The sequence below is a fragment of the Homo sapiens genome, chromosome 2 (assembly GCF_000001405.40).
Source record: "Homo sapiens chromosome 2, GRCh38.p14 Primary Assembly".
Classification (NCBI taxonomy): domain Eukaryota; kingdom Metazoa; phylum Chordata; class Mammalia; order Primates; family Hominidae; genus Homo; species Homo sapiens.
Window position 1 is genome coordinate 229021963 of NC_000002.12, and position 12470 is coordinate 229034432.

A 12470-nucleotide genomic window follows, 5' to 3' on the forward strand; every position below is an offset into this window, starting at 1 on the left:
TCCTTGGGATAATGTTCATTTCATTTCAATCATGTGGCATTGAGTATCTAACATTGTTTTTCTATGTATAAGCAGCCATAATTTCCTTTTGGAATTAGGTAAGGGCCAATGTTTTTCTTCAATAAAAAGCCATTTGCTCACCTTTGGAGAACTGAGCAAGGAAGTCACTAGGATACCTTTCAGGGTTTCAAGACTCTGTCCTAGAACTTGCAAATCGATGAAACACATGGTGATTTTCCTTCCATCTGTCTATCCCTCCATCCATCCTGCCAGCCAGCTAACAGAAACTAAATGAGTTCCTCCCACGTGCCTGGTCCTGCCATAGGAGCTGGCAATAAACATGAACAAAAGAGATAAAATCCTCATCTCAAAAACGTTGACACCGAAGAGGTTTAAACAGACATTTACATAATTATACAAATAAATATGTAATTAAAAACTGCAATGAACGACATGAAGGAAAATGACAAGAGGGCATAGAATCCTGTAACAGAAGGACTTGATTGAGAATTTTAACATGTCCTCAGAGAAACAAAACAAACAAAACAGACATCTTGATTTTGTAGAAGTAGAAAAATGTGTCGATTTTGCCTATAGCCATTAAAATACTTAAGCAAAACTTCATATTATGTTATCTGGGCTCAAAAAAAATTCTTGGGACTTTGCTTTTAATACTGTTGGTGTCAAAAATACTTCAAAAATGAACAGCAAATAATGCTTATTTTTAATGGTTTAGTGTGCTACTTTAAAATAAGCTAGAAGGTTTTAAGAGGAATAGAAATGAAAAATCCAAAGGAGGTAGATCTTGTCTTGACAGAGCCACAGCCCTGGACCAGAAGTCAGAGGCTTCTAGTCTCATCAATCATGCCCTAGCTGTGCTACCATGGCCAAGTGATGTAACCTCTCTCAGGATGAGTTTCCTCGTCTCTGAAATAACTGCTATGCTCACCTATGAGGTTCTTTTCAGGAGCATCTGAGTAATGTACATGAAAGTACTTTGTGATCACTAGCATAGAAAATACAGTACAGAAAGTGGGTATACAAAGCATCAAAAAATAATAATGCAAAGCTGAGTCACCCTTCAGAGAGGAATTAGGATTGGCCATCCCAAAAGACTTCATCAGCTAATTGGAAAACATCATTGTGTGTCTATCTTTAAATTGCTACCAATCATCCCAAGCAAAAACTTATGCCAATATTATCAGAGACAATTACTTAGCATGTCACACTTGGTAGTCTGAAAAAAAAAACTAGCAAATGCTTCCTGCAATAAATAACCACATGTGCACTTAGGATTCAACTTAATTTTACTCAGTGAGGAAAAGGGCACTGTTGAAATACATGCTGGCTGTTTTTTTTTTCTTTTTCTTTGTTTCTTCTTTTTAAATGTATATTCAAGGACAACAGATAAACTGAAATTGGGAAAAGTTTGACCTGAGAGAACTGCCATTTCAGTCAGAGGAGTTAGGTTACAATTCTCACTTGAATTCATCTCTTTATAACAGGCACCTATATTTTTACTTTGGAAGCCTTTATATTTGTTATTGATTCCATGAAGGGCATTGCTCAAAAAACATAGGCTCCATGGCCACCTGTCTTGCTTGTTTAATGGGGCCATTCTGAGATATCATAGCCTGGAGGAGACATTCTTTAACCAGTCCCATCAGAAAAAAAATCACTCAGTGTTTACCTTCCAGGATTTCAGTCTAGGTTCTTCAAAGACATACACGAGATTTTTGTAAATAGCAATCATTTGCAACATGTTCTGGAAGACCCCGCACTGAAACAAACCCACCATACTATAGAACTATTTCAACTATTGCCACTTCACCATCTCAGGGGCATGCAAAAATTAAAAACAAATTGAGCATTTAGAAAATAAAACAAGATTTTTAAACGCAATCCAGGAATAGGTTATTTATGACCCAGTTTAAATATATTTTTTGATAGAACTATTTGATCTAATTTGTTCTTCATGTTTTTATTACTTGAAAAAGGACAGACACAAAGTATGAAACTCCTCAGCTTTATTAATGCAAACATATTTTTATTAAAGAATGAATGCATTTATGCTAAAGAATAGCTTACATATGTTGTAAAGCAACAAGCATATCTTCAAGAAGTGAGTCCTCCTCAATATGACTCCATGCTTATTCTACATGCCTGAAAACTGGGCCCACACACAGGGGCACACGTACACGCACACAAACGCAGATACGGACACACAGATATGCAGACCGAAATGCTGACACCATCGCTCTCTAGATTGGATTAGCTCTCATTTAAGGCTTCTTAGGTGCCGCAGTGCCCCTAATATTACCAGGATTGAAAACAGACTTTTAGGAAGGAGCAGCATTACTTCGAAAAGTAGTCATCTGCTCTTGTCCTCCAATGTGTGTATTTTAACAAATACAATTTCATTCTATGTTGACTCTGTGTTTATAATATTTAAAGAACCATGAAATTAAGAAATCTCAGGATTGTTTTAGTGAGAACTTCCCATTCAAAATAAAAAAAAAGGGCAATTCTGACCCTAAGATATCATCAATTTTATGATAACGCAATAAGATTTCCCTTTAGGTTAAGATGACATGGGTCTCTAGACAAGCCAAGTTTATCTAACTCATTCTGTATCTAAGTGCAATGCTGAGTGATGGGGGCAAGGTTTCCTCGGTGATACCAAATCAGATTTGAAGCTTGCCATCAAGGATGCATCAGACAGGACCATTAATTAAATAAGTTACCATAAATCTCAGCTGGATAAAAGGAGAGTTGACATAGAGTGTGTTCACTTGCTGATCACTTATTCCTCTTTGCCAAGGCTTCTGTTGTTGGGGTTGTTGTTTTAAACTCCTGGTTTGTTTGACTGTTTATTTTATTTGCTTGATTGTTTTCTTCCTTTTGGTGTCCTGCAACATATGCTGAGATTTCATCCCTCTAAGGATGTTAGAAGGGGAAAGAGGGTGGACAGGGCAGCAGGAGGGAAAGGGAAGGGGTCATTAGTAATTGCAAGTATTCTAAGAAAATAGATGAAGTGAATACAATAAGAGGGTACTACTTGGTATATTTATGTAAATAAAAGCATTATCTGTAACTGTGAATTAACTGCCAACTATCAGGTTGTTAGTTGTAAAGCTCAATAAAGGCTGTGCTGATTTGCATACAGAGGAGGGCATCTGCCGTGGGAGAGGAACAGAGGGCCCTCCCGAGATGTTCCTTCCTCCCTGCGGCCAGCGTCCCCATCAGCACCCTGCCCACCCCACTAGAGATCCCATAGGTGCCCCTAACATTCTTGTGGAATTTCATAAGGCAGATCGGAATGGCCCATCCAATAACAGCTGCAGAGTATTTGCCTGAGCGTGGTGAAAACTGGCATGGAGCTCTCCCACAGAGAGGCATTGGGAAATGAGAAAAATAAGAGAGCCTAGAACCTTCCTCCCCATCCACACTCCCACCCTCCTCACAGTCACAGCAGCAGCAGGTTTCAATGTAACGTAATTACTTTAATGATACATTTCTTTAGATTTAGAATTGCTCTTCTGAATTTAAAAACCTTGGTCAGCCAATAGTTTGGCAGTCTTTTCATCCCAAATTTGAAACGTTGCTTACTCATCTATTCCCTTGAACTCCGTGACCAATGCTGCCTTTGCTGAAGCGTCTCAAGTTCATTCAGCCATCATCGGATTCCAATTCCTGGGAAACCTCTTCGGAGGAGCTGTTGCTGTGGATCCGCCCGTCGCTCTTCATACTGTGGAAAGTCTTCCTGAAGGCCTCCATCATGGCGTGGGCCAGTTTCTTGGCCTCGAGCTTGCTCTCGCACTCCACGGCGTGGCAGTCCATCTGGTAGGACAGGTCATCATTGATCTCCCTGTAGACCCAGGCGAAGATGTTGGGGCTCACGTTGTGGTCGGCGGTGCAGTAGGCGATGCGGGCCACCTGGAAGGTATCCATGTGCACTGTGGCCTCCCCTTTGTGGTCGAGATGATGGAGCCAAACTTGGAATGGCCGGATTTCCAGGAGGGCATTGGCCGGAAAGACATCCTCTCGGGCTAGCGTGTGCTTCTTCCAGAGCTCAATGACTGGCTTTTCTGTGCAGCCTGACAAAAACTGCATGCCAGTGGTGGAGACTTTGCCCAGGTAGGTAACCTGCAGATGCAAGAGAGGAAGAAAAGGGAGGCATCAGCAGAAGGCTCTTTGTTCTGATAGACTGAATGAGTAGCTGTTCCACACAGTCATGGTGTCACATTGGGAAGGTGAAGACACTTCTTTCTTGCTCCCTGAAAGAATAACTCATCAAAATTTCTACCTTTTCTCTCTAATGAGTTGCCTACTTGGCAAATGTATTGAAATTATTTGAATAGAGTTGGATTTTAAAATCTAATTTCTAGAGAACTACTCTCCCTCTCCTTACTCCTTTTTTAAACCCCAATTAAAACGAAGAGTATGATCTTTTACATAATTTGGCATTCCTTTAACATCATAAAGTCACTCAAAGTTTATTTTCGGCCAAACACACACAGAATTGAATAATAGGAAGGAATCAAAAGGACACTGAGTTGGAAAAACAAAATCTTTATTAAACTTATCTCCTAGCCTGGGTCTCTTTCCAAATCTCTCAATGTTTGATTTCACTTAGGCTGCCTGCTTCTAATGCCAAGGACGCAAAAACTGTTCTCTTGAAATTATGGCCTAAAGCATGATAGTTTTCCTTCCCAAGATAATTTTTAAAAATAACAGCAGTGCCCAGTTCTTTTTTAACCTAAACTGTTTTTGAACTGATGAGCATCTGTTGATCTGATAATAAATGAAAGATCTACAGAAGAATCAAGAGTAGAATGCTGGCTTATCACCTAGCTAGGTAGGCAGTATGAAAACTAAGAAAAATAATTCCAAACGATTCAAATACTGTCTTTTTAAAAGCGTGTTTATAATATGCCAAGAAGGGATTTTCATCCTTTCATTGTTTTATTCATTCCACAAAATGCACAGAATTACTATTATTGGGGCATAGGCATTATGGAAAGGCATAAAACTTAAGAGATCATCTAAGAAATAATATGAAATAGTATATACTTACATTTAAAATTAGTGACACAAATAGAAATACTACGAATGCGAGGAGAGAAAGACCAGAAGAGGGTCCGTGGAAACCGTGAGAACTGAGAGGGGACATTTGGTCAGAATGATTCCAAACAATGGTTATATTTAGTGGGACAATACAGGCCACATATAAAAAATTAAAACACAGAAGTTAAGGACTATTGTATCTTTGTGACAAGAGTAGTCCCTTTAAGAAAATAACTTTTTAATAAAGATGTGTAAGTGTGATACATTCCAGAAGTATTTATTGGGAACCTCTTATACACAATGGCAATATAACACATAGGCATGGGGATTGCTATGAAACTGGGGAGGGCCGAATATCCACGGGAAAGAAATAATTGAATACTCATTCAGAGCACAGTCTTTGAGGCAGGTGAAGTTGAGGTTTAAATCCTAGCTCCACAGTTCACCAGGACAAAACTCTCACCCTTGGCACCTGCACAGCTATGACTCTGATGTAAGGCAGGCCGTGGAAAGGGCAGGAAGGGGAACAGCAAAGTACTGTGAGTGTTCAGTGGAGGAGGCAGTGGCATACTGATGACAGAAGGCCTCAGGAAGAGGCATTGGATTTCAAAACATTGGCCTCAGACTACATAGGAGCCCAGCAAGTCAAGGTGCTAAAAAGGAGGAGGGAAACAGTAAAGGCAAGTAGTAGAGAAAGTCTCAATCAGCTTGGACAAAGAGGCTGTGCTAACCTGAGCACACGTAAAGCGGTAGCCTAAGACAGCCCTGGAGCAGAAGCCGTGTAAGAGGTCCACGACCTCTGGATAAAAATAGGCTGACCTTTGCAGGATCGCCCCACATGTGGTCTGAGGAATCGGGGCGTCGTTGCTCCTCTGGAATGCCACTGAAGGGCCAAGGTCCAAGGAGTGCCTGGATGTGATAGAGCCTGTGAACTCAGACTTTCCTGATGCCAGGAAGAAAGGTGGATGGGGAGGCCTGACTGATAGCAGAGACACAGCCAGCGGGCAAGGGTGGCCTGGATTAGGAACAGAGGCAGTGGGAAAGGACAGGAGGAGGCAGAGGGAATAATATTGCAGGACAAAAACTAACAATACAGGGTGAGTATCCCTTAGATAAAATGCTTGGGACCAGAAGTATTTCAAATGTCAGCTATTTTCAGATGTTGGAATACTTGCATATACATAATGAGATATCTTGGGGAGATAACCTAAGTTTGAACTGAAATTTATTTATGATTATGATTCATATATACCTTATACACATAGCCATTAGTTTTACCCAATATTTTTAATCACTTTATGCATCAAAGTTCGTGTAAATTGAGCCATCAGAAAGCAAACGTGTCACTATCTCAGCCACTCATGTGGACAATCTGTGATCGTTTGGCAGCAAATAAATTGTGGTGTTTACGCACCAAATAAATTGTGCATAAATAGAAAATGTCAACATATTTAAAAAGGCAGCCCATCCAATGGGAGAAAATATTTGCAAGTCATATATGTAATAAGTAATTAATATCTGGAATACATACAGAACACCTAAAAGTCAACAACAAAAAGTCAAAAAACCCAACTTAAAAATGGGCAAAGGCATCCACAGTGGACTGAATAAAGAAAATGTGGTACATATACACCATGTATAAATACTACGCAGCCATGAAAAGAACAAAATCACGTCCTTTGCGACAACATGGACATAGCTGGAGGCCACTGTCTGAAGTGAATTCAGGAACAGAAAACCAAATGCCACATGTTCTCAGCATCCAATCCAAACTATGCGCTAATGAGCGTATTATGAGCTGTTGCCCAAACAATTTCATACGAAGTTACCCTAGCCATCATCCTATTATCCTATTATCAGTTCTACTAATAAGTGGCTATTATCAGTTCTACTAATAAGCGGCTCACTCAATTTATATACACTTATCACAACACAAGAACCCCTCTGACTACTCCTACCACTTGCTTACTCACTTATAAGTAGGAGTAAACATTGAGAACACATGGACATAAAGATGGGAACAACAGACACTGGGGACCACCAGGAGGGGGAGGGTTGCGGGGGTGAGGGTTGAAAACTACCTACCAAGCATCATGCTCACTACCTGGGCAACGGGACCATTAACACACCAAACCTCGGCAACACGCAATTTACCCATGTAACAAACCTGCACTTGTACCCCTGGACCTAAAAGTTGAAAAAAAGCTTTAAAAAAATAAAGTTCCTGTATGTCAATCCCTGGGGAAAAAAAAAATGGGCAATGGAAATTAATAGATATTTTTTGAAGCCAAAAAAAAAAAAAAACATGAAAACATGCTACCATCCTTAGAAAAATGCAAACCAAAACTACAGTTAAATACCACTTCGCACCTGTTAGGATGGCGGCTATCAAAAAAGCAGAAAATAACAAGTGTTGGCAAGGATGAAGAAAAATTGGAATTCATGTATCCTGTCGGTGGGAATTTAAAACAGTACAATTTCTATACCATGTAGAAAACAGCGTGGCGGTTCTCCAAAAAATTCAAAGTAGAGGCCGGGCGCAGTGGCTCACGCTTGTAATCCCAGCACTTTGGAAGGAGAGGCGGGCGGAACACGAGGTCAGGAGTTCGAGACCAGCCTGATTAACATGATGAAACTCCGTCTCTACTAAAAATACAGAAATTAGCCAGGCATGATGGTGTGCACCTGTAATCCCACCTACTCAGAAGGCTGAGGCAGGAGAATCGCTTGAAACCGGGAGGCAGAGGTTGCAGTGAGCTGAGATCACATCACTGCACTCCAGCCTGGGTGACAGAGTGACACTCCGTCTCAAAAAAAAAAAAAAACAATTAAAAGTAGAATTACTATATGACTCTGTAGTTCCACTTCTGGGTATATACCCCAAATAATTGAAAGATGTATATCAAAGAGATATTGTACACATGTTTATAGCAGCACTATTTACAATAGCTAAAAAGTAGAAGAAATCCAAGTGTCCGTTGATAGATGAATGAATAAACAAAATACAGTATATATGTATAATGTATACTGGAATATTATTCAGCCTTAAAAAGGAAGCAAATTCTGACAGATACTACAACATGGATGAATTCTGATGACATTATGCTAAGTAAAATACACCAGCCACAAAAAGACAAGTACTGTATGATTCTATTTGTATGAAGTATTTAGAGTAGTTAACATCATAGAAACAGACCAATTAGAATTGTGGTTGCCGGGGGATTGGGGGAGGGACGAATGAGGAGTTACTGTTCAATGGGTGCAGAGTTTCAGCTTTGCAAGATGAAGACAGTTCTGGAGATGGTTGGTGGTGATAGTTGTGTACATTATGAATGTATTTAATATCACTGAACTGTGCACTTAAAAATGGTTAAGATGGTAAGTTTTATGTTGTATGTATTTTACCAAAATAAAAATAAATTAGGGAAAAAAGCATACGGAGGAAATTAACTTTAGTGCCTGAAATGAGGTATATTTATTTTTACTATTCACTGAAACTAGAAATAACTGTTTTTATGTTTGGTAGAAAAAATCCTGATTTGCTCTAAAGGCACACTTTCTCTCTCTCTGATATTTTTCTAAAAATTGCATACAGAAATATATATCATGACATAATTTAAAAATACTTCTAAAAAACTTTATTGAAAGTTGTAGACGATTCACTCCAATGAAAACCGATTTCATAGTAGCAAAATTTTGGTAACTAAGAGAAAATATCTTCCTCTTTATAAATCTTTATAAATATGTATTACCTATAAAATAAAGATTTTGAAAGAAATAAGGTTGTATTTTGGAGGTGTACTGGAGAGATGAGTGGAGCACAGATGTGTAGCTTATATGAGATTATATAAATTCGAAATATATTATCTATATGAGATTATATAAATTCAAAGAAATACTGTTAATGGCCGGGTGCAGTGGCTCACACCTATAATCCCAGCACTTTGGGAGGCCAAGGTGGGCAGATCACAAGGTCAGGAGTTTGAGACCAGCCTGGCCAATATGGTGAAACCCCATCTCTTCTAAAAATACAAAAATTAGCCGGGTGTGGTGGCAGACACCTGTAGTCCCAGCTACTGGGGAGGCTGAGGCAGAAGAATCGCTTGAACCTGGGAGGCAGAGGTTGCAGTGAGCTGAGATCGTGCTACTGCACTCCAACCTGGGCAGCATAACGAGACTCTGTCTCAAAAAAAAAAAAAAAAAAGAAATATTGTTAACAAGTTGGCACTTCTTAAAGAAATATAGGGGCTGGGCGTGGTGGCTCAGGCCTGTAATCCCAGCACTTTGGGAAGCCAAAGTGGGTGGATCACTTGAGGTCAGGAGTTCAAGACCAGCCTGGCCAACATGGTGAAACCCATCTCTACGAAAAATACAAAAATTAGCTGGGTGTGGTGGTGCACGCCTGTAGTCCCAGCTACTCAGGAGGCTGAGCAGGAGAACTGCTTGAACCTGAAGGAGGCGGAGGTTGCAGAGGGCTATGATTGCACCACTGCACTCCAGCCTGGGAAACAGAGTGTGACCTTGTCTCAAAAAAGAAAAGAAAAGGAAAGAAAAGGAAAGAAAGGAAAAGAAAAGAAAGGAAAAGAGAAACATAGGAAAACAATTATCTGAATGGGGTTTCCTAGAAATGGAATGGAAAGAATTCTTTAAATAGCGTGTCCCTAAAAATGGAATGCAAAGGGATAAAATGACGTAGCAAGACCGTCTCCCCTCAGAAACTCTTTTCAATCAGCCCTGCTGTTATCCATAATGGCCCAAGTTCCGGAATCCTGACCTATGTCTGTGCACTTTGCTCTAGGAAGTCAATTACTTACTGCCTGTCCACATACTTCTTAATTCTCCCATTAAATTCTCCAGAGTTTGGCATTAACCCATAATGTTGACTGTAAGTCACTGAAAAACACTATTCAGACCTTTTTTCAAAAAGTGAACTTCCCTCTTTATTTTTTTGTATACGGTTTAATAGAAATGCATCTTATGGCTCTGATTTTCAAGGGAAATTGAGTAAAAACTTAAAAAAATTAATTGTCTCAAAATACCAATGATTCAGTTATGCTCTGCATGCAACCATGCCCCCTGTGTATTTGGGCCATGGAGTTCCCCCATCTCAATAAACAGAAACCCTGTTTATGGCCCTGTATATGGGCCATTATACCTGTATATTTCTATATCAACACTGTTACAGGGACTCACTCTAAATATAAATAGAGAGGTCCCCTCCTGCCATGGTTTCTCTCATGTGGGAAAATTCCCTTTAATATTCTTCTGTGAGCACATCCTCCTTATGAGTAAGAACACAGAACTCAATGTGCAAGGCTGCTTCTGGAGGTTCCGCAACTAACATAGCTGTGCACCAATGTCAGGTTTGGTTAAGGAGAATCCTGTTATCCTGTCTATGAAAGAGGTGAATACTTTCTAGAGGAATAATAGGCCCTGTCTTTAAGAGTCGCAACCTTCCAGAGCCACAAAGTAGACAGAAAACACCAACTTATAAAATTGGTCACAAAATGTGTCCAAAATGATACACAGATTTTTCTTTGAGCCTTCACCACCCAGGGTGCTGGAACAAAGGGACTTGGAAGATGACAAGAGGGGTCTTCAGGAAAAGTAACAACTAGCTGGAAATTGCGGTAAATACCAGCATCTTTTCTATGGTTGCAGAAACAGGCATTGGGCATGAAACTTATTACCAATGAATCATTCTGAGAGAAATAAAATGAACACTTTCCCCATGTGTCATTCCATGGCATAAACTGATCTCCCAAACACAGACATTTGCAGTGTGTGTAAATGGACCTGCCCAACCCCAACTGAAGAAGTTATTTGAGAATATTCACAGACTGTGAAAATATAGAGAGGCTGTGAAGCCAAGGGACCCGCCAGAGTGTCTGCAGTGTTAACAGCGTCGGATCAGGAGAGAGCAGTGTCCTCAGAATCTCTCCTTCCAACTCATGAGTTTTCCAACACCCCAGCCAGCTCTGCATTCATGAATCACCATTCCCTGCTCATCTGTGGCAAAACAAACTTGGTTGCCCGACATTTATCCTTCTGGTTGAGCAGTACCATTTGTTTCCCCTGGTGGCCGGTCGCTATTTCATTCTGGCCTGAGAAGCTGCTGTTTTGAACCTGACTCACCTCACGCTAGACTGGAGAGTGGGATCAAAAGGGTAACGTCAAGGGTTCCCAAACAAAGATGGAAGATGGGATGGATGATTGTGCAAGAACCCAAGCACCTGCTTTCCTGGAGTTCTTCGACTTTCCAAGCTGGATGAGCCCAGCTTCACAAGCTTAGCTTGGGTTCCACTTACTGCTGGGCTTCTCAAGAATGACAAGCCAAGAATAAAGACCTTCTAGAGGTCTCTCTTGAGATATAAAAGACTTTGCTGTGACTAACACAAGAACAGAAAACCAAACACTGCATGCTCTCATTCATAAGTGGGAGTTGAACAATGAGAACACATGGACACCAGGAGGGGAACATCACACACCAAGGCCTGTTGGAGGGTGGGGGGCTAGGGGAGGGAGAGCATTAGGAGAAATATCTAATGTAGATGATGGGTTGATGGGTGCAGCAAACCACCATGGCACGTGTATGCCTATGTAATAAACCTGCACGTTCTGCACATGTATCCCAGAACTGAAATATAATAAAAAAATTAAAAAAATATTTTACTGTTTTTCCATTGTCTGTAGGACATACAATATGTACCCAGCTGACATAAAATAACATGATAGGAAAAGAGAATGGAGGAAACTTTGCTGGGAATCCTAATAGCCTTTGGGCTCCAAGGCAGAAGATGAGAAAAAGAAAAGCTGCTCTTAACCCTGGGCAAAATACCAGAGTCAAGCTCTTCTTCCATCACATGGATTCCCACCTGCACATTCCAGAGAAAAGGCAAAGGGTGCAACATAGAGATTTATGACCTCAGCTTGAATCTGCTCCTTTCTTGCTGGCCACAGAGGCACAGAATCCACTGGGCACTTTGAAGAGTGGAGATGGATCTGCATGCCAATTTCCCAACAATCTAAACCACAAACACTGACTCGATAATTATGACCATGAACCTGTATTACAAGCTTTAAGCCACGAAGAAGGTATTAAAGGATAGATGCTGTTCATAGTGAAATCTATGAAATTATTGTCGGCACAATAATAAATTTTGGAGGTCTAGAAGAATGCAGAGGGAAGACACAAAGGGGGCTACTAGAACCAATTCCTGGTTCCTGGGAATCACTAACAGGAACAGAACCAACAGCCAACATTTATCCAGGACTTACTCTATGCCAGGTACTTGGCTAAATGCTTTATATGGATCATTAATCCTCATAATAATTCCATAAGGTATGTACTAGCTGTTTCTATAGATTAGGGAACTTGTAAGAGGTTGAAGTAACTTGCCCAA

General features: G+C 40.4%; 1 protein-coding gene across 7 annotated transcripts in view; it reads right to left on the reverse strand.

Annotated features, from left to right (window-relative positions):
* Positions 1-2010: 2010 nt before the first annotated feature.
* The window catches only part of PID1 (phosphotyrosine interaction domain containing 1), a 247315-nt gene continuing 236855 nt past the window's right edge, over positions 2011-12470 (reverse strand). For all 7 annotated transcript variants that reach the window (NM_001330157.2, NM_001100818.2, NM_001330158.2 and 4 more), the window contains one exon: positions 2011-4146. In NM_001330157.2, the coding sequence (NP_001317086.1) occupies positions 3670-4146 (477 nt within the window). In that variant the 3' untranslated portion in view covers positions 2011-3669. The remainder of the gene's footprint in view (positions 4147-12470) is intronic.